The following is a 22,350-nucleotide window of genomic DNA, read 5'->3' on the forward strand; positions in this document are numbered from 1 at the left end:
CCCAGTGTCTCTGTTTATACTTAGGTATCATTGTATTTATTTTTCCCCCAGCTTTATATTTTGAACTCTTATTATACAAATTTTCAAACATACAGAAAAGCTAAGACTAGTACAGGGAACACACTTAGGTCTTTATCTACATTCACCAATTGTTAACATTTGCCATATTTAGCTGTATAATGTGTGTTTTGTTTTGGAATGATATGGAAGTTGGAGGCATCTCAATCTTTCATTTGTAAATACTTCAGCATTTGTCTAACAATGACATTCCCAACATAGCCCAGTAGCATAATTTCATCTAAGAAAATAAACATAAATTCGATATATGTAACATCTAGTGCATAGTCAGCTTTCCCCAAGATCTAGTTGTGGTTTGTGCATTGCATTTAGTTTTAATCTTACTATTCATAACACCTCAAAACTGAAAACTACCCAAATGAACAACAGTCAAATTAATAAGTAGGTTGCAGTCTATCTGTATCTGTATATCTATCTATATATACATACACACACACACATACATATACTCAGTGGAATACTGTATACCAATGAAAAAGAATAAACTACAGCTTCACACCATGATATAGGTGAACGTCACAAACATGATATTGAGTAGAAGAAGCCAGAAACAATGTGTGAGACAATTACCTGAAGTTCAAGAACAGGCAAAAAAGTCCAGACAATGTGTTCCCGTTGGTATAGTATATATGTATACTATATACGTATATCATGTATATGCTGTATACGTATATCTCGTATATGCTGTATACGTATATCTCGTATATGCTGTATACGTATATCGTATATGCTGTATACGTATATCTCGTATATGCTGTATATGTATATTGTATATACTGTATACATGTATATGCTGTATATGTATATACTGTATATGTATAGTATATATATGCAGGGTATAGTGATGGAGGAGATGTAAAAGGGGCTTCTAGGGACTGGTTATGTTCTGTTTGTTGAACTGAATGCTGTTTACGTGGTTGGGTTCGTTAAGAAAATTCTTTGCATAGTGTGTGGTGACGCACACCTGTAATCCCAGCACTCAGTGAGGCAGAGGCAGGAGGGTCACTTGAGCCCAGGAATTCGAGACCAGCCTGGGCAACATAGTGAGGCCCCCATCTCCACAAAAAGGAAAAAAAGGGTAACGTGACATTTTTTAGCCAGCGCTGGATCCAAAAAAATAAAAATAAAATCTTTGCGTGTACAAAACATAAATGGCTTGTACACTTTTATTTTCATGAAAAGTTTACAAAACAAAATCCAAGCTGATAAGTATGTATTTCATATTTTATCAAACCAGGAGGCATATACTGTCAGGTTTTTTTTGTCTTCTAGTCATCTTGCCTAAAAGGACTCTTCCGCTTTAAGCACCACTTATTTCTCCTTTTCTTTTTTTCTCTTTGCCTCTTTGTTCCCCAATACCTTTTCTTTTCTTTTTTTCTCCTCCCCTTTCTGTTACTCTTCCATAAACACCTGTTCCGTTAATTTAGAGAGAATATAAGAAGGATCAGAGTGAGGATGAAGGAAGGGTGAAGCTGAGCATTTCAGCAGCGTCATGGTCTCAGTCCTGATAAATATGCTACCTAGGGGCGTTCTCCTGCAGGAGCCTCAGTGAAGCCTGCTTCATTCATTCAGCCAGCAGTTAGCAAGCATCTTCCCTGAGTCAGTCCCCTGCCAGGCTCCTAGGAGACCCAGATGAATGAACCTGGTTAGGCAGAGGGAGCATGTGGGCAGGACAGGGGACTGAGCAGGCACCTGGAAGGTCTGGAGAGCTGTGTGCTGCCCTGTGCTACAGCAGGTGTAGAATCGTTTGGGGAAGGCGCAGGACATCTGGATGAATGGAAACAGCATTTCCAACAAAGTCACATGTAAATAGGTACAGAATAATAAAGTGCTAGTTAGGTGCACAGTGCTGAAGAGGCCCAGAGTAAGAGAATAATCGTGGTGAGTGTCTTAGAGGAAATTATTGAGCTACATTTTGTAAGAAGTAAAGGTCTAGATTAGCAGCAAGATAAGTGGGCGGGCACTGGAATTTGGCAGACTATTCTGTAAAAAGACATGGAGGTGGAAATAAGGAAAAAGAAGTAAGGAAAGCCTGAGTTGAGGTTGTTGGTCAAAGGAAAAAAGAGAAGGAACCATGAATGGGACCCCTGTGAAGCAGAGTTCTAACATGTAAATGTCCTGCGGCTACCACAGAATCAATCTTTATCTCCTCCTGTCCTGTAGGCGGTGGGAGCAAGGAAAAGGAGGCAAAACCCCCACAGGAAGACCTGAAAGGGGCGCTGGTGGCACTGACATCAGAGAGGTTTGGGGAAGCCTCTCTCCAGGGCCCTGGGCTCGGAAGGGTCTGTGAGCAGGAGCCTGGTGGCCCTGCAGGCAGTGCGCCTGGGCTTCCTCCTCCCCAGCACGGTGCCATCCCCCTGCCTGACGAAGTCAAAACCCACAGCTCCTTCTGGAAGCCTTTCCAGTGCCCTGAGTGTGGGAAAGGATTCAGTCGGAGCTCCAATCTCGTCAGGCACCAGCGAACCCACGAAGAGAAGTCTTATGGCTGTGTGGAGTGTGGGAAGGGCTTTACCCTGAGAGAATACCTGATGAAGCACCAGAGAACCCACCTGGGAAAGAGGCCCTACGTGTGCAGCGAGTGCTGGAAAACCTTCAGCCAGAGACACCACCTGGAGGTGCACCAGCGCAGCCACACTGGGGAGAAGCCCTACAAGTGCGGGGACTGCTGGAAGAGCTTCAGCCGCAGGCAGCACCTGCAGGTGCACCGGAGGACGCACACCGGGGAGAAGCCCTACACCTGCGAGTGTGGCAAGAGCTTCAGCAGGAATGCCAATCTGGCGGTGCACCGGCGTGCCCACACTGGCGAGAAGCCATATGGGTGCCAGGTGTGCGGGAAGCGGTTCAGCAAAGGGGAGCGGCTGGTCCGACACCAGAGAATCCATACAGGGGAGAAGCCCTACCACTGTCCTGCCTGCGGGCGAAGCTTCAACCAGAGGTCCATCCTCAACCGGCACCAGAAGACCCAGCACCGCCAGGAGCCGCTGGTGCAGTGAGCATAGCAGGTGGCAGGCAGCACCATCATTCATCTTTCTCACTGCAGGGCCTTGCGGGGTGCAAGGTGATGGCTGCAGGAAAGCACTGGTCCCATCGCCTTCCCACCCATTCGCCAACGCGGGAAAGGCAAGGCCTGGCTTACTTAGAGCTTCCAGAGAGCATAGCTGCTTCCATCTCTTACCCAAGTGGTGCTAAACAATTTTTCTTCCAATGTTTGAGGGAAGCAGTCTCCTGCGGTTCAGTTCAGGCTGAGATTTTCTCCTTCAGTGGACTGTCTGTGTCCCCCTGCCGAACAAAGCTGGGAGTAAAGGCAAAACCTTGACACGTGTTGGTAGCTGGGACCTCATCTTCCTGAGGGCTCTGTCTTGCCTGCAGGGTCATAGCTCAGACTCTTCCCCCACCCCCTCTCTTTTCCATTGAACAAACATTTATTGAACATCCTCTGAGCACCTGGCCGTGGGAATGCCGTGGTGAATGAGAGACTAGACGTGATGCCTCTGGGGGTTGTGCGTTGGGGATGCATGCGACAGCCCATGACCCGAGGCATTCTCAGGGTATCTGTGCTGTGTGCCCGTGAGAACATCTTCCCATGACCACTCCTGCCCTCCTGCCCCGTGCTGGATCTTCCCTCCCCAGCTGGGATCTGCTCCCAGGCAACTGTGTGAATTTTACATTATTTGGAGCCTCATCTGTGTCAGGCTATAACATTCTATCCTCATCTGTAAAACTTCCCCGTCCATTATTCCTTGCACTATAACAACTGTCAACACACCAACTATTAGGAAGTTAGTATTTTGCTATTGATCACTGAATAAACATCAGAGTATTTTAAAAAACAGTTCTCTAGAAAGAACTGTTATAATTAAAATGAGTCTGAAAGATGAACTCTAGTATTAATGCCCTATATTTGATGGCACTTTATAGTTCATAAAATTAATTTCACCCCATTCTCATTGGACCCATTTCCCAAGTATTTATTGAGGCCCTGTAACAAACATGTCAGGAACTCTTCTGGGTGCTTGAGACACATCCATGAATAAAATAGGGGGAGAAGCTGTTGACCTCGTAGAGCTTATGTCTCGTGGATGTACCTGATCTTCAGAACCCGTGGATATTCCTGCAAATCCTCTGGGCCTGTATTCATTGCTTTGTCAGCATCTTGCCCTGAAATGCATTTGTCACCTACCTCTTGTTACTAAATGGTCTCTGCCCTCCAGACCCTTGTCATCCAAGGCACTAGGGGTCCTGGACACCCACTGGGGATGATGAGCTGGTAGCGACCTGTTTTGCATGAGTGCCAAGTCAGGAAAAATAAAGATATTTGTAGGCATTAAAAAAAAATACATTTCTTTAAAAATGAGAAGATGCAATATTTGTAAACTGTTGAAGCTTCCTTATTGTGCCATCACTTAAGGGTTTCATTTCTGTTTAAAGTTCTGGAAGCTGCATAACTAGCGTGGACTGACTGCTGTGTCATTGTGCTGTGCCTTTGAACCCTGGCTGAGTGAGTGAGTTTGTCCTTTGTTGATAGTGTCCTATAATTGCAAAATGTGGTTTGTCTTCTGATGCCTCTTAATACCAGATTCTTTTACTGAGATTTTTTTTTTTCATTTTCCATTGTAAATAAGGTAAATGGTAATGACTAACACAAAGCTGTATTACTCAGCCCACTTTGAAACGTGGTTTTATCACCTGTTCTTGTTAGGCAGCATGGTGTCTAATTTTGGCTTAGCAAATGACGCTCCTTGGTCTTCCTGGCTCATTAGCTGTGCCCACGAGGCTGCACTGACTGGGTCGTAAATGTATCTGAGATGTCCACACGGGGCTGCTGCTGCTCCTCTGTAATACTGAGGTCCACATGCAAAATCAGCTTTTTTTCCCCCGTAATTATCAGAGCAGCTAGGCAGGGCTGACAGCCAGGCAGACTCAGTGGGAGGCTTCTGGCCTGAGTGTGGCCTTCCCCAGAGGGTGGTTTTCCAAAGGCAGGTGGGGACTGGGGAGGCCTCGGGGGGCTGCTTGTCATTACCTGAATCACAGATGCTCTTTTGTCATACACAGCCAGCATTCCTCTGGGTTTCAGCAAGTTGGCATATCTTAAGCTTCAGAAGGAGCTGGGCCTTGCTGACTTTCCTATCTGGCCTCTTCCCTATCTCCTGTGGGGCCAAGAGCTTAGGACAGTGTCTCAGAAAAGCCTCTAAGTAGGGGGTTTTTCCCATGGGATTGTGGTAGTCTGATTTTTCATATCTATTCAAATGTTAAGAAATATTTTGTTTTCTGTATTTTTCTATTCTTTAGAAATTTTTTTATAATAGATAATTTCAAACCTATATAAATAAATCCTTATGTATTTATCATTTGACTTTATTATAAACTCATAATCAATCTTGTTTCATCTCTGTCCACTCCTTCCTCCCCGTCTTCCTCCCCCACTGAAGTTTCGAAGTGTATCCCAAGTGTTGTTTATAACCATTTCAGTGTGTACCTGTAAAAGGTAAGGGCGGCTGGGTGTGGTGGCTTACACCTGTGATCCCACCACTTTGGGAGGCCAAGGTGGGATTGCTTGAGAGGAGTTCGAGACCAGCCTGAGCAACATAGTGAGACCTCATCTACAAACAAATATTAACTGGGCATGGGTGGTGCATGCCTGTGGTCCCAGCTATTCAGGAGGCTGAGGCTGGGCATCACTTGACCCCAAGAGGTTGAGGTTGCAGTGAGCCCTGATTGTGCCATTGCACTCCAGCCTGGGAGACAGAGCAAGACCCTGTCTCAAAACAAAACAGTTCCTTAATGTCAAAATATCCAGTGAATTTTAAGAACCCACCTAATTTTTCAATATAATATAATTTGTTGCTTTGTCTCTTAAGGCTTATAATCTGTAGTACTTATCCTTTTCTTCTTGAGATTTATTCATTTTAAAAAACTCGATCATTTATCCTGGAGAGTTTTTTACATTCTGCATTTTCTGTTGTTTTTTTTTTTTTTGAGCTGGAGTCTCGCTCTGTTGCCCAGGCTGGAGTGCAGTGGCACAGTCTCAGCTCACCGCAACCTCCCTGTCCCGGGTTCAAGCGATTCTCCTGCCTCAGCCTCCCAAGTAGCTGGGATTACAGGCATGTGCCACCATGCCCAGCTAATCATTCTGCATTTTCTGTTTGCATACCCATGGCGTGATTTAACATATTTCCCTGCCTTCTGTATTATCTAAAAATGTAGAAGTGTTTAGTGGTGTAATCAGATTCATATTTCACATTTTGGCAAGAACACATTATAGATTGTGACATGCCCTGTTTCTCTTCATATGATTTTAGAAGCCTAGATCTGCTTCTTTCGTTAGTTCTGTAAATGCTTCATCATTTAGTAGTTGGAATATTGTAAGAAATTTCCCTTCATTAACTTAGGTTACCCTTAGATATAGTTCATACAGGGAAGGCAAGAAAATGCTTGATCCTCCTCTTTATTTGCCTGTTTTCAGAATAATGAGCTAGTTACTTTTTGCTTCCTGTAAAGGCAGTCAAGTCTGTAGAAATCAATGCATTCATAGCTTTTTGCTTTTATTGGTTTTTTTGAGACAGAGTCTTGCTCTGTCACCCAGGCTGGAATGCAGTGGTGCAATTGTAGTTCACTGCAGCCTCAAACTGCCAGGCTAAGGTGCTACCCCTTCCTTGGCCTTGCAAAGTATTGAGATTACAGGTGTGGGCCACTGCACCTGGCCTGCACTCATGGATTTAAACATACTTGGTATTGATCAGTCTGCTGGAGTTATAATTTGATGCTCAAATTATTTCACCTTTGACCAGTGGAGGCCCCTGGACCTTGGCTCCTGAATCCTTTTGACATAACCCTAATTCTCATTGACAGCTTCTTTGCTTTCTGGCATGACAAGATGTTCCAGGCAAATGTTCCGTATTTCCTGCCCCTTTTGAGAGTGAAAGTGGGTGCTATTTATTATGCTGGGACAGTGGTGTAAACCGGGACTCTCCAGGTCAAACGGGTATTTGGTCAACTCATAGATGGGCCTCCTTTTGTATGACAAGGCATCTGTGGTTGCCTCACATTGTGATGATGCTGTACACCTTCAGTGTCTGGCTGCATGTGCCGTGCTGCTGGGTAATGAGGGAGGCTGTTGTCCTTTGCAAGAGAAACTCTGTTTTCTCCCCTGGGTGGTGGTAGAACCAGGTAACTGCCTAAGGTCTGTCCTGGGGAAATATTTCATCAAGAAAGTTTGGTCCATGTCATAGTGTGTGCTATGGGTGTTGTCTGCAGGCTGATTATGCTTAAAATACTTTCAGTACCTGTTTTATCCCAGCTGAGAGGCAAGGAGAACCTTTGTTTCTTAAAAAATAAGCTGGTTTCAGCCAGGTGCGGTGGCTCACGCCTGTAATCCCAGCTCTTTGGGAGGCCGAGGCGGGCGGATCACCTGAAGCCAGGAGTTCGAGACCAGCCTGGACAACATGGTGAGACCTTGTCTTTATTAAAAATGCAAAAATTTGGCCAGGCGCGGTGGCTCACGCCTGTAATCCCAGCACTTTGGGAGTCCGAGGCAGGTGGATCACAAGGTCAGGAGATTGAGACCATCCTGGTTAACACAGTGAAACCCCATCTCTACTAAAAATATATAAAAAAACAAAATTAGCTGGGCATGGTGGTGGGCACCTGTAGTCCTAGCTACTTGGGAGCCTGAGGCAGGAGAATGGTGTGAACCCGGGAGGCGGAGCTTGCAGTGAGCCGAGATCGCACCACTGCACTGCAGCCTGGGGGACAGAGTGAGACTCCGTCTCAAAAACAAAACAAAACAAAATTAGCCAAGCGTGGTGGCAGGCGCCTGAGGCAGGAGAATCACTTGAACCCGGGGGGCGGAGGTTGCAGTGAGCCGAGATCATGCCACTGCACTCCAGCCTGGGTGACAGAGCGAGACTCTGTCTCAATAGTAATAATAATAATAATAAGCTGGTTTCAAGTCCCCTCCCTCTGTACAGTACAGATTGACTTAATCCACTTCTGAGACAGGGAAAATGACAGGTAGCAACATGTTTCTGTAGCAGGTACTTGCTCTTAAACTTTGCCAGGGTTTCTCAACCCCTGCACTGTTAACATTTTGTGCCAGATAATTCTCTGTTGGCAGCTGTCCTGGTTGGTTTTTTTTTTTTTCACTGTGTAATTCCTTTATTTTCTGCATATTAGTGCTTTACTAACACTACAACCATAAAGAACACAGTTTCAGGTACTGTACTTTTTAGTTTGGGGCGATCATAGTCTACAGACTCATTTACTTATATTAAACAAGATTAACCTCATTCAAAACATACTGCAGTTTATAAATTCACATAAATACAGAAACTGATGCAATTAAACAACTTCAGGATCTTATTTTTTCAATTCTTAGATTATAATTTTTTTCTGCAGGCTATAATTACCTGCTCCAGTCACCAATGATTATTGTTCAATTTAACTACATCAATTATAAACCTCTTATATCCTTAAAGAAAATTTTAAGTGAAAATTACAATTTCTTACCAAAAGGTTTAGAGTTTTCCAAATTTCAAATATTTCCTTCCCCCTCCCCCATTTCCAGTCAGACATTTCAAATAAACTAAAAATAACCACATCTCACCTGCAACATTCAATAATAGCAATCACTTGATGTATAAAATTTTAACTATGCTCCCAGTTATTTTAAGACACAAAAAAGTGGCTGCCTACCAATCTGTCTTCACAAGTTAGAAATACTACATTGAAGATATAACATGGGCTGGGCGCGGTGGCTCATGCCTGTAATCCCAGCACTTTGGGAGGCTGAGGCGGGCGGATCACGAGGTCAGGAGATCGAGACCATCCTGGATAACATGGTGAAACCCCGTGTCTGCTAAAAATACAAAAAATTAGCCGGGCGTGGTGGCGGGCCCCTGTAGTCCCAACTACTTGGGAGGCTGAGGCAGGAGAATGGCGTGAACCCGGGAGGCAGAGCTTGCAGTGAGTGGAGATCGCGCCACTGCACTCCAGCCTGGGCAACAGAGCGAGACTCCATCTCAAAAAAAAAAAAAAAAAAAAAAAAGATTTAACATGAGGGTTTCAAGTTTCCTCCGGTTTAGGCATTTATACCTTTGTGCTTGTTTTGTTTCAGGATGTTACTATAGCATTGATGTTGGATAACCCATATTTATATACCTTAAAATGCAATCATTTAAAACACTAAGGATTACATTTATGGTGGAACTTTGGGAATTTTAGAAAGCAACCAGTGTTCTTAGATGTGTTTATTAGCCTTATTTCTAGAACTATTTCTACTAAAGTGAAACTGAGAACTTCGTACTTTAGTTGCATCTTGAAATCAAAAATCCCTCTGCACCAACAGGAGCCTACATGAGAATAACCTTTTGCATCTGCTTTAAGTAAAATGTTTGTCAAGAGTTTTACTTTAAATAGTTCATTTTTTTTATAGTCTTACACTTCTCATACGTCTTTGGTAAAAGCTCCATTATACAATATGGCCAAAGCGTGAAGGACCAATACTGTCCAACTATACCAAGATGTCCCGCTTAATTTTAGTTTTCAGACACACTCATAAACAAAACCCACTCCACCTTTTCCTGTATACTGCCTTTGCAGTCTACATTTCTTAAATTCCCTATTTAATTCCTTGAGGATCACTAAAATTATTCCTTAAGGCTATATAGGAGCCAGATGCTGCTTTACAATTCTGCATCAAGCATTAACATTTGGTTCAAAATATTATCATAGTGGTTGCAATCCAGTTACTGGTCCTAGCCAGCTAACCAAGTAATCTTGTTAGGATCTAGATATCATCAGCGAGCACACTGCTTACACATGAAGAAAAATTAAGTTTACATTCATTGTAATCTGTAGGTTCTTTGTCCTCATCCTCCATCCACTTTAATAGTCCATCCCTCAAGTCTACACATCATTCATTCATCATGCTTCCTTCCTTAAAGGAGACAGTGTACTATTGAACCAACAGGGTATCTTTTTTATTATTTGCATGAGTTAATCCTACAAACAAAATTAAATACCTTTTTTATAAAACATATTTTTCAGTGTTCTAATTGATGGAGGTGTGGATCACACATCTATAAAAAATGACTTATAGCTTCAGCTTAATCAGTTGCTATAATGTGAAAACAGGAATGTGTATTTTTTTCAACTAGGTAAAAGGTGCATATAATTTGAATGGTTACATGCTTTATTAATGAACAAAGTAAACCTGTTAGTAATTTTTAAATTACTGGTCTTAGGCGTTTGTAACAAGGTAAAAGTATACATTCTAGTTTTGCCCAAAAGTCACTTAAAATATCTACAAATATTTAATCTATGTGTGGTGTACCCCATTATTGCTCCAATTTCTGGGAAGAGTGTTTTTTTAAAGTTTAAAAAAGAGGAAAAACAGCAAAGTGACTACTTTGCAGTGGAAAAAAAAAGTGTGTCCTTCATGGGTTACACTTTCATATTTTTATGCAGTGTTAAGTTAGCTACGTTATGGGGAACTTGGGTTTTATTCCTGCTCGTGCATGATGTATGTTTCAGAACTTATTTGCTGACATTTCAGAGAACTTCTTACATTACCTGTTTAACATACTGAGGTGCAACTGGAACATATTACAATGATATTACTCATCATTTGCCACTGTGGGCTAAGTTTACTATACTGGTCTTAGATATAAAAGGTCACATTTGAAATTACTAAGTTAGAACTCATAAGAAAGGGGGGAAAGGCCTTAAATATAAAAGACAAATGACAGTTTGATTAAGCAATAATTTTCAGTTTACTAGATGAAACAGACTTGCAACATAGTCTGCATGAATGCAAAATAAGCCATCTACAGCAAGTGATAAGGAAACTGGACAAAAAAGGAAAAAAGCATACACAGGAAAATGAAAGATTCTCTCGAAATAAAAAAAATCAATTATTACAAAGGACTTTACCAAGAACTGCTGTATATCCCCCATCCCATCTGCTGGAAGTCAACAAGAGCATCTAGCAACTTTGTGTTCATGTCAAATCTCAGAGCATCCTAACGCAAAGCCGAAAAAGGAAAAAGAACGGGAAACAGAAGACCCCCAAGCCCTCTCCCCCCAAACTGTAGAACAGTAACTCCAGAGTTCAAATTCAAAAGAAAAGTGGCAATTGAAAGAGGAGATGGTGGCGATAATCCTGTGAATGGGTTTTTGATTTCTCTCCTTCCAGGGGATGGGTGGAGAATGCTCATTAAGATTTGTAGTTAGAGGTTAACCATGTGAGCCCCTCACAGAGTCCGTCCCCTGAGGTGGCACAGGAGGGCTGCCCATACCAGTTCCTGTCCTGAATCCAGGTCAGGCCCAGTTTCTCCTGGATCTTGTGGGGTTTCATGGCATCGGGCAGGTCCTGCTTGTTGGTGAAGATGAGGATTATGGCATCCCTCATCTCCCGGTCATTGATAATGTGGTGCAGCTCCTGGCAAGCCTCATCGGTGCGGTGGCAGTCGGCACAGTCCACTACGAAGATCAGACCTTGGGTCCCAGTGTAGTTATGCCGCGAGAGCGCGGATCTTGTCCTGGCCACCCACATCCCATATGTTGAACTTGACATTTTTGTAAGTCACTGTCTCCACGTTGAAACCCACAGTGGGAATTGTGGTCACCGACTGGCCCAGCTTCAACATTTACAGGATTGTTGTCTTGCCGGCCGCATCCAGGCGCAACATGAGGATCCACATTTCCTTGTTCCCGAAGATTTTGCATAGCACTTTCCCCATCGCGTCAGAGAAGCTGGGGCCAGGGGCATTCAGGTGTCCTGGGTCCCCTCAGCCAACAACGCCGCCGCCGCTGCGAAACTGAAACGAAGGCTCCCAGCCTTTGCGGCCTGCCTGGGAGTTGTCTCCTAAGGGCAGAGGCCCAGGCCTGTCGCTCACTCGGGCATCACCGACCGCACAACTTGATTCCTCCAGTCGCCGCTGCCACCTGGGGCCGGAGTCTGCGCTGGGAGCCGCCGTCCTGCTGAGGCACGGCCCGGCTGTCCTGGTTGTTTTATGCATTGTAGGATATTTAGCAGCAATCCTGGCCTCAACCTACCAGATGCCAGTAGCACCTGCCGGCTGTAACAATCAAAGATGTTTCTGGAGGAACAATTTGGCTTTCAGGAAGAGCAAATAGTTGGACGTCCCCTGGGGGAGGCAGAATCGACTTTAGCTGAGAATCACTGTTCTTAGCATTCAGGATAATATGTCAATTAGATATTTTAGCTATTGAGAGAAGGACTGGAACTCCATGGACTGGACCTGTTTCCTGCAGAGTTTAAAGTCTCCACCTAGTTCCTAGAAAACAAAGGAGTTTTACTAGAGATCACTTGGGGGTAAAGGTAGTATTGTCAAGCAGAGTCAAGAGCTGTTGAAGTCTAATCTCAGGGCAGGGGCCTGCAATTCTGTATCAAGCAAACTAGGTGGTCCCTGTGGAGGCACCCTGGCTCCAGCACTGCTGCTTTTGGTTCCTGTCAGGTAGGTCCCTGCCCCAATGCCTCTGCATCACAAAGAGCCTCTGCTTGGGTGTAGACTAACCTTCCCTTAGCAAGGGCCACTTAAGGGCATTGCAGCCAATTACAGGCTCTTTACTCCATAATAGGAGACAGTAAATATTTGAATGAAAGACCTGGATTTCTACCTGTTTCAGCAATTAGAAGGCACTATGGTGAGAGCAGTTTCAGTGGCATAGTGGGGGAAAGCCAGATTCCAGTGGGTTGTAGATTTCTCCTGTGAATTCTAACTCATAACTTACTTAGGCTGGGTGCAGTAGCTCGCGTCTGTAATACCAGCACTTTGGGAGGCTGAGGTGGGAGGATCACTTGAGCCCAGGAGCTCAAGACCAGCCTGGGCAACATAATGAGACCCCCATCTCTACAAAAAGTTGAAAAATTAGCTGAGCATAGTGGCATGCGTCTGTAGTCCCAGCTACTCAAGAGGTTGAGGTGGGAGGATTGCTTGAGCCCAGGAGGTCAAGGCTGCAGTGAGCCAAGATTGTGTCACTACACTTCAGCCAAGGTGACAGAGCAAGACACTGTCTCAAACAAAAACTACTTAAAGGTCAAATAGGCATCTCATACATCACACACTAAACCAAACTCTTCGTTTTCTTCCCACCCTCAAAATCTATTTCTCCTTTATTGATTGATTGAGATGGAGTTTTGCTCTTGTTGCCCAGGCTGGAGTGCAATGGTGCGATCTTGGCTTACTGCAACCTCCGCCTCCCAGGTTCAAGCAGTTCTCCTGTCTCAGCCCCCAGAGTAGCTGGGATTACAGGCGCCTGCCGTAGCCTGGCTAATTTTTGGTATTTTTAGTAGAGACGGGGTTTCACCATGTTGGTCAGGCTGGTCTTGAACTCCTGAGCTCAGGTGATCCATCCGCCTTGCCCTCCCAAAGTGCTGGGATTACAGGCGTGAGCCACCGCACCTGGCCTCTCCCTTATTTTAATGAATGATATGATTCCTGCTCTCATACCCCACATCCAAACCATCAGCAAATCTTGCTTCTCCCATCATAGGCAATGATCTCTAGCTGTTTGTTGAGCCACCAATTGCAATTATACTGAATTCACTTGCCAGAAATTCTCCAAGCCAAATAAATTCACTTGGGCCTCTCACAATTTTGAATTCCTGTCCTGCCTGTTTTCTGTAAGATCTCAGGGAAGGATATACTTCCAGAGAGCCATCTTGTCCAACGCATTCCCAGGATCAATATGTTTTGATAAAAAAACTCCATAAAAATTGGCTATGAAGCCGGGAAAACAGGCAATATTCTTTGTCACTGAGAATTTAAACTAATGGGAGAGGGAGGATGGAAATGCATGAGTAGTATATGTGTTGTGCCCTGAGAAGCAGAGCGACTTGGGAGGAGCAGTTTGGCTTTCAGGAAGAGCAAATAGTTTTGCTGCCACATACACTAGCCGTAGCTCTGTTCTATCATCTGAGTGGCCAGAGACCAGGAAATGGTAGCAAACCCAAGAGCTTCATGTTTTCCCTTCCTAGTCAAAAAGTGCAGTCTCTTCAGAAGGTGGTAGGAGAGCTTTTAGATAGAGATTGGGAGGAGAGAGGTGGTAGAATCTTCGTTTACCTCCTGTATTAGTCTGTTCTCGTGCTGCTATAAAGAGCTGCCTAAGACTGGGTAATTTATAAAGGAGAGAGGTTTAATTGACTCAGTTCCTCAGGGATAGGGAGGCCTCAGGAAACTTACAATCATGGTTGAAGGGGATGCAAACATGTCCTTCTTCATATGGCAGCAGGAAGAAGTGCTGAACAAAGGGGGATAAGCCCCTTACAAAACAATCAGATCTTGTGAGAACTCACTATCATGAGAACAGCATGCGGGTAACCACCCCCATGATTCAATTACCTTCCTTCGGGTCCCTCCTACAACATGTGGGGATTATGGAAACTATAATTCAAGATGAGATTTGGGTGGGGACACAGCCAAACCATATCACCTCCCATCCTTGACTCCTACCTCCAGGAGCTATTTGATTCCAGGGGGTTGTAGATTTCTCCCTTGAGTTCTAACTCATATTCACAACTACCTACTTAAAGATCAAGTAGGCATCTCAAACTTACCACCACAAAACCAAACTCTTCATTCTCCTCCCACCATCCAAACCTAATTCTTCCTCATCTTAATGAATGGACCCTCTAATGCCCCAGTTGCTCAGTCCAAAAAGCCTAGATGTCACTCTCTTATACCCTACATCTAAGCCATCAGCAAATCCTGTTGGCCCTACTTTCAAAATATTGACAGAGACGGACAACTCCCACTCCCTCCAAGGCTTCAGGTCCAATCCACCATCTTCTCCCTAGACTTTGTCAGCTGTCTCCCTGCTTCTACTCTTTCCTCTGCATACTCTCTTCTCTATCCAAGAACCAGATAATCTTTTAAAAATATAGCTAAGATGATTTTACATGTTGTTTGGAACTTTCCAAAGGTTTCTCCTCTCAGAATAACAAAGTCCTTTCATACCTGACAGTTCTTCCTGATCATGCCAGGCACGCTCCCAGTTTTGTTTTCAGCTCCTGTTGTTCTCCTTGCCTAGAAGCTACTTTCTCAAGCCCTTTACACAACTTTCTCCTTCTCTTCATGTGAGTTCCTGTTTTGAGAGACCTTCTCTAACTATCTGTCATGTTTTTAAAACATATCTGCAAATTCTTTGACACTCTTTTCACCAAGAGTTAGAGTCCAGTTCCTCTCCTCTTGAAACTGACCAAAGTGACTCACTTCTAACAAATTAAATGTGAAGGCAGTGATGCTTAGTCATAAGAGGTGATAGGTGGGATGCTTGCCCTTGGAACAGAGCTGCAATGCTGGGAGGAACCTCCACCACATTGACAGGCTGCACAGAGGTATTCCAGCAATAGTCCTCACTGTGGTCATAGTGGACACCTAGCACCAACCATCAGTCAGGTGAGAAGGAACCCTCCAGATGACTCCAGCTCCAGTCCCTGTTTGACTGGAACCATGTGAGAGACCCTACAGGGAAACTGCCAAGCTCAGCCTAGTCACCCCCAGAAATATGAACGAAAATAAATGCATGCTATTGTTTTTAGCCACTAAGTATGAGTGGTTTAATTACATAGCAATAGATAATTGGAACACAACCCTTCTACAGTAGCACTCCCCATCAGTCTCTATTTTCTTACGTAGATTTATTTTTCTTTGTAGCCCTTACCATTATCTGACGTATTATAAATTTGTTTTTGTTTCCTGTTCTACCACATGCCCTGGAACTTCAGCTGTGTGAAAGTAGAAACTTTGCTTTTTTTGCTGATATTTCCCCCACTACCTAGAATGGTGCTTGGTACATACTAGTCACTCAAGCTCAGATTGTTTTGTTAAATGGATGTACCTGTGGTCTGTGATGTGAAGAAGGCATCCAAGTTGAACAGAGACAGTATGGGCGTGAAAGTATTGTGGAACTTGGAAAGGACCACATAGGAGATATTATTATTATTCTCATTATTCTTGAGGATACTTTTACTTCCCCATTAGTGGTCCTTAATAATGATTTTTTAATGTAGGTAATGAAGTTATTTTTTCTTTTTTTCAAAAAAGCAATTTATTTTTGAAGTAGAAATAAAAATTCTGGTGTTTATAGGATCGAGTTTACACTTCCAAGTCTGTAAGAGTGACTAAGCTTCTGAACCTTTTATGGTTGCATTATGTGCAGGATGAGAAAGGGAATGTTTCTCTCCCCATACCCCTAAGCAAGCAGCCTGCAGGCCAAGACCGGTGCCCATCTAGAAAGGCGTTTGCCATAAGAGAAGAATCATCTTACCCTATGTACTCCATTGGACTTTAGAAGCCTGTGAGCCGGAAAGTCTCCTTACAAACCAGCATAGAGCAAGGTTAGGTGAAGGTCTTTCATGTTTACCCATTGCTGCCCCCCCTTTTTTTTTCATGTTCATTTTTTTTTCCATGGGGCCAAATCATTATATTCTTCACCATTACAGCAAATGCATATTGAACATTTCTTCATAGTGATGTCAACTCTTCATGTCATTTTCACAGTCTTGAGGTGAGATTCTGTTGAGTTTTTTGTGGTTTTATGGCCAGAGACCCAGGAAAGGCTGATTCTTGCCCTGCCAATCATCCCAACCCCGATGGCCCAAGGAGCAACAGCAGATGGGGCTCTCAGTCCCACTGTAGTAGTATCTGAGCTGCACCCAGTAACCTGCATCATAGAGGTCACTGGGGAAGGGAGTTGTGAGATCGTGTAGGCTTGCATTGCTCCCCCCTCTCAGCCCCACATCTGAGTTGAAGACCTGTGGGTTCAGGCACACTGTGCAGGAGGGAGATTGGAGACCAAATGGGAATTCCAAGAGATGCACAAGCAGAAGACTGTTCAGGGCCAGGCAAAAAGGAAGGAAGCTTCATCTCAGATGCTGACCCTGTGAGGCACACCACCCTTCATAAAATAGGGGCCAGTGAGATCCTGGGGCTCTGACAAGCACACACTTAATTCTTTTTCTTTGGATGGGATCAGGATCAAGGAGACAAAGGGAATGGGTTAAGGCAAAATCTCTTGGAGATGGTCATCAGTGTTCTTTCTCCAGTGTTTGCTGTCATCGTCCTTGTCATCATTGTCACCGTCACCATCATTAGCTATAGCAGCACACTTGTACTGAGTCATTGTTTTACACCAGGTGCTGTGATAGATTCTTCTGTGGATGGGGTTATTTGGATAAACAGGATCTTTTATACAACTTAAGAACAAACAGTCCTGTTTGGGGTAGCATTTGGGGTGCACTTGACTGATGCCAAGCAGAGCATGAAAAGGACTGTCACAGAATTTGCATTCTGGAGAACTCTGGAGGGGAAAGAAGACCCTCTCCTGGCCTAGGGCACTGGAGGCTTCATGAAGAACATGATATTTGATCTGAGCCTTGAAGGACAAGTGGAATTTTGTAGATAGAAATGGGCAAGTTGGGCTGCCTGAACAGCATGAGGGGGACTAAAAGCATGGTGTCTTTGGTAAATGAGAGGGACTTGGACTAGAAGGCAGTTGTTGTGACCCTCTGAGTAATTCTTTTTCCTCCGCCACGCCCTTTGCAGCCTATTACTGTAATTGATAGGAAGCTGCATATAATTCCTCCCACATGAACTCATTTTTATGAGGCCTTTCTTCATTTGTTTCCTTTCCCAAGTCAATGAGTGGAGAAGCACATTCCTAGGGATTATGATAGCCGATTTCCTGCATGTTCTTCACTCACAGAAAAGCAATGCCAGATCTGGTCTCCTTTCTTTCCTTTCCATGTATGTAACAGACCTTTCTTTTTTTGAAAAAAGAGAACACATAGTGGGACAGGTTGAGGTCAGCTCAGGAGGTCAGGAGGGTCAGACGTGAGACCTTCACTGCAGACACTCCTGATGCAAGTGCCTGGAGCCACAGAAGCCCACCCAGCAGGAGCAGGATGGCTTTGAGGAGGACGATCAAGCCTGGCCCCAGAGCTAGGTTCACTTCAGAATGTGGGGATGGTCTCACTCTGTTGCCAGGCTGGAGTGCAATGGCGCGATCTTGGCTCACTGCAACCTCCGCCTCCTGGGTTCAAGCGATTCTCGTGCCTCAGCCTCCCGAGTAGCTGAGATTACAGGTGAGTGCCACCACATGCAGCTAATTTTTGTATTTTTAGTAGAGATGGGGTTTCACCATGTTGGCCAGGATAGTCTCGATCTCCTGACCTCGTTATCTGCCCACCTCGGCTTCTGAAAGTGCTGGGATTACAGGCGTGAGCCACTATGCTCAGCTGATCTCGTTCCTTTTTATGGCTGCATAGTATCCCATGGTGTATATGTACCACATTTTCTTTATTCAGTCCGTAATTGATGGGTGTTTAGGTTAATTTCATATCTTTGCTATTGTGAGTAGTACTGCAGTGAACATATGTGTGCATGTGTCTTTATGATTTATATTCCTCTGGATATATACCCAGTAATGGGATTGCTGGGCCAAATGGTATTTCTGTCTTTAGATCTTTGAGGAATTGCCACACTATTTTCCATAATGGTTGAACTAATTCACACTCCCACCGACAGTGTATAAGTGTTTATTTTTCTCCACAACCTTGCCACACCTGTTATTTTTTGACTCTTTATTAATAGCCATTCTGACTGGTGTTAGATGGTATCTTATTGTGGTTTTGATTTGCACTTCTCTAGTAATCAGTGATGTTAAGCTTTTTTTTTATATGATTGTCGTCCACATGTATGTCTTCTTTTGAAAAATGTCTGTTCATGTCCATTGCCCATTTTTTAATTTTTTTTTCTTGTACATTTAAGTTCTTTATAGATGTTGGCTATTAGACCTTTGTTGGATGTATAGTTTGCATTTCTTTTCCCCAGTCTGTGTTCTTGGCACCTTTGTCAAAAATGAGTTCACTGTAGATGTGTAGATTTGTTACTGGGGTCTCTATTCTGTTCCATTGGTCTATGTGTCTGTTTTTATACCAGTACCAGGCTGTTTTGGTTACTATAGCTCTGTAGTATACTTTGAAGTCAGGTAAATGTGTTTCCTCCAGTTTTGTTCTTTTTGCTGATGTTAGCTTTGGCTCTTCTTGGTCTTTTGTGAATCCATACAAATTTTAGGATTAAAAAAATATTTCTGTGAAGAATGTCATTGGTATTTTGATAGGGATTGCATTGAATCCATATATTGCTTTGGGTATTGTGGGCATTTTTAACAATATTGATTCTTGAAATATATAAACATGGAATATCTTTCTATGTTTTTGTGTCCTCTTCAATTTCTTTCATCGGTGTTTTATAGTTTTCATTGTAGAGATCTTTCACTTCTTTGATTAAGTTAATTCCTAGGTATTTAATTTTATTTGTGGCTATTGATTTTATTTCAGATTGTTCCTTGCTGGCATATAGAAGTGCTACCAATTTTGTACGTTGATTTTGTATCCTGCAAATTTACTGAATTTGTTTATCAGTTCTAATAGTTCTTTGGTGGAGTCTTTAGGTTTTTAAAATATCATTTGGAAGTCATATGGAAATATCATTTAGAAATCATTTCCAAATACCATTTAGAAACCATTTGAGTGTTTTCTTACTTCCTGGCACAAAAAGTGTCCTGGGCTCATCTTGAACATTTTTAGTCCTAGCCCTGGCATCAGCTATTTCTCTAACGAGCTCTGGTTCCCTTCAGTGGAAAATGATATTCATAAGCCAAGATCTAGGCACTAAGTATACTCATTGCTATTGAAATGTCATTGTTATCTAGCCCTATCAGTGAAGTAGGGAATATATGTTTTATACACACACACACACACACACACACACACACACACACACACATGCATGCTCACACATACAAACACATATATTTACATCTAATTATCTATCAACTATCTATTATCTATCTATCATCTGTCTATCTATCCATCTATCTATCTAGAAAAGTATGAATGTACACTGATACATCCATTCCAATCTAACACCATAGGATTAATGCTAGCTTTCTCCCTTTCTGAATCTATGACTCTTTTCTGCAAAAGTGACACACCTAGCTTCCAGTATACTTTATTTACTTATGTGATCAATCCCTTCTATGTAGCCAACTCTCACCCATCCCTTCCCACTCAGGGATACCCTCCTCACCTCACGTGGGTTCTCCAGGCCCTATTTAGGCTCTGGCTGCTCTTGAAGGCCACACCTCTGTGTGGACCCCTTCTCTGATTGCTTGGGCTCCCGCTTCCAGGTCAGGCTGCCCCTCCATGTGGATGCCTTCCCCAGCACACTTGGAATCTGACTTGGAGCCACCATGACTCTCTTGTCCACCTTAATGTGTGGCTACCACATGGCTGCAACCCACCTAATGGCTTTAGTATTCAGAAAAGGAGGGAAAATGAAAGAATAAAAAAGGAAAATGAATAGTGCTTTTAGACATGCTGCCCAATCAACTGACGAATTGACAATTTTTTATTCAGTGTTCATTGCATTAAGACAATTGGGAGGTGAAGATGGAATGCAAGACGTATAAGAAAACATGTTTCCTGTGTTCCAGAAATGTCAGGGGAGATGTGGTAAAAATAATAAATCATAACTAATAATATGATAAGTGCTTCGTTGAGTGTTACAAAAAATATGTTCTTCAAAGAAGGCAGAATGAAACTATGAATATTTTCTCCAAACAATGGGCAAAGTCACAGCAGATTAACTCTCACCTATGTTAATAATCAAATTGGAATTCTGACAAAGGCCCCACACCAACAGTGATTACAATGATAAAAAATGTTTATTTGCTGGTTTTCAGTCATTCAGTTCTATAGATTTCTCTTTAGTGTGCAGGATGGCATCAGATAATATTTTTGTAAAGGGGATTTTATCACTTCGCTTAATATAAAACTTATAGAATATTACAAATAAAACGTGATATAAATGTCACTATTAGAGTCATCATGATAATTCTTATTTTTCTTAAAAGTTATGGATCAAATTGTTGAGAAATATTTATTCTCTGATGAGAGCTCAGGAGGAGTTGATAATGCTAACTAGAGGTGGGTAGAGGTAGTCCTATGAGAAGCAGAGAAGCTGAGTCTACCTATCTGTCACTTACCTGGTCACCTCCTTTATACTACATAATGCACAACACTCTACACAGACTCTGGGAGAGCTCAATGAATGTACAAAATCACCAACTACTCATGCAGTACATTAGATTAAGCCCATCTTTATTTCAAGGTTTTATTGACTAAGTTGAAATCTCTGGTGTTCTGGGGCACAGCTTTCTTGAAGACCAAAGTAGAAATCCTTAGAATAACTCATTCTCCACTTAGGGTTCCATCTCTTGAATCCACCTTTAGAACAATGGGTTTTTCTGGTTGAAGAAGTCCTTGCGTGTCTAATTTCAAGGGGATCTACAATAGTTAAACAAGCATATGGAGAATTAATAAATGAAGTGAAAGAAGAAAAGATGGAAGCAAAGTAGAAAAAATATGACAAAAATGCTTTGCAAGCATATAAAAACGACTCTTAACACCATGTATCTTGAACTCTTCATACTTAATCTATAAGCTGGGTAAATACTGGATAGTAAAAGCACTCACCATCCATCGTTTAACAAAATATTTATGGAGCACTGACTCTGTGCCAGGCCTGAGACAAATTCTTGTGGACTCGTGTTTTTTTTTTTTTATTTAAATCTTAAGTTAAAAGGATGAGTTTTAAAAATTAAATCCAGATTAGTAGGTATTATGGCAAACTATTTTGGAAGTGCTATATAAAGTTAAATTTTTATAGGTTAAAACTTGCAAGGTAATCCTGAGTAGCTGTTGTACAGTTTAATTATGTGGGCAGTTTTCAACTTCCAGAGTCTAGTAACCCTTCCCAGTTGAACCCATCAAGTGCAATGATGGGAAATGTCTTCAGAAAGAATTATTCTTTTCTTTTTAACATCTCCTCTTGGCTTCCAAGCGTAGTGCAAACGGGGAATTTCTCAAGTTGTACAGTGTTTTGACTCATACTTCTAGCACTATTGTCACTGAGTCACCCCTTCACTGTTGGGGGAGCCACCAACAGAGTAACATTCTGATCTCAGTTCAGTGAGGGGAAAGCAAATTGCCATGGATACAAAGAAGTGCCAGCCTGAGATGCCTGAGAGCTTGCCAGGGAATATCTTCCCTGTCCCAGGTGTGCCAGAGGCCCACTTTCTCTCAGGGCTGAGCCCCCTGCCTGAATACACACATAGGAAAGCTACACAGCTGCCCTGAAGCCATAGATAAGATGGCAACCATCTCCATCCTCCTCCTCTCCCAAG

The 22,350-nt window shown here is 42.9% G+C and overlaps 2 protein-coding genes and 1 pseudogene across 31 annotated transcripts in view, besides 2 other annotated features; 1 reads left to right on the forward strand and 2 right to left on the reverse strand.

Moving 5' to 3' along the window:
- The window catches only part of ZSCAN25 (zinc finger and SCAN domain containing 25), a 121,090-nt gene that overhangs the window by 10,004 nt on the left and 88,736 nt on the right, over positions 1-22,350 (forward strand). For 14 of the 27 annotated variants that reach the window (XM_047420011.1, NM_001350980.2, XM_047420014.1 and 11 more), the window contains one exon: positions 2,242-5,459. The exons of 11 other annotated variants lie outside the window; for them this stretch is intronic. In XM_047420011.1, the coding sequence (XP_047275967.1) occupies positions 2,242-3,071 (830 nt within the window). In that variant the 3' untranslated portion in view covers positions 3,072-5,459. Of the gene's footprint in view, positions 1-2,241; positions 5,460-20,521; positions 20,979-22,350 lie in introns of those variants that run through there. 2 more of the 27 variants (XM_011515910.3, XM_047420020.1) reach the window with 1 other exon arrangement.
- Positions 2,888-3,534: an enhancer, noted in NCBI's record as "H3K4me1 hESC enhancer chr7:99227460-99228106 (GRCh37/hg19 assembly coordinates)". NCBI's record gives its function as "activates a minimal SCP1, AML or CMV promoter by ChIP-STARR-seq in naive H9 embryonic stem cells {active_cell/tissue: H9 hESC(naive)}" and the evidence as "EXISTENCE:reporter gene assay evidence [ECO:0000049][PMID:30033119]".
- On the reverse strand, positions 8,218-12,074 carry LOC442603 (ARF GTPase 6 pseudogene; annotated as a pseudogene).
- Positions 11,968-12,133: a silencer, noted in NCBI's record as "fragment chr7:99236540-99236705 (GRCh37/hg19 assembly coordinates)". NCBI's record gives its function as "represses an EF-1alpha promoter that drives an FKBP-Casp9 reporter gene in an ReSE screen in K562 erythroleukemia cells {active_cell/tissue: K562}" and the evidence as "EXISTENCE:reporter gene assay evidence [ECO:0000049][PMID:32094911]".
- The window catches only part of CYP3A5 (cytochrome P450 family 3 subfamily A member 5), a 31,803-nt gene continuing 30,697 nt past the window's right edge, over positions 21,245-22,350 (reverse strand). For all 4 annotated transcript variants that reach the window (NR_033807.3, NM_000777.5, NM_001291830.2 and 1 more), the window contains one exon: positions 21,245-21,451. Coding sequence is in view for 3 of the 4 variants with exons in the window: in NM_000777.5 (NP_000768.1) it covers positions 21,356-21,451 (96 nt within the window). In the remaining variant the exon portion in view is untranslated. The remainder of the gene's footprint in view (positions 21,452-22,350) is intronic.

The sequence above is a fragment of the Homo sapiens genome, chromosome 7 (genome assembly GCF_000001405.40).
Source record: "Homo sapiens chromosome 7, GRCh38.p14 Primary Assembly".
Taxonomy (NCBI): Eukaryota; Metazoa; Chordata; class Mammalia; order Primates; family Hominidae; genus Homo; species Homo sapiens.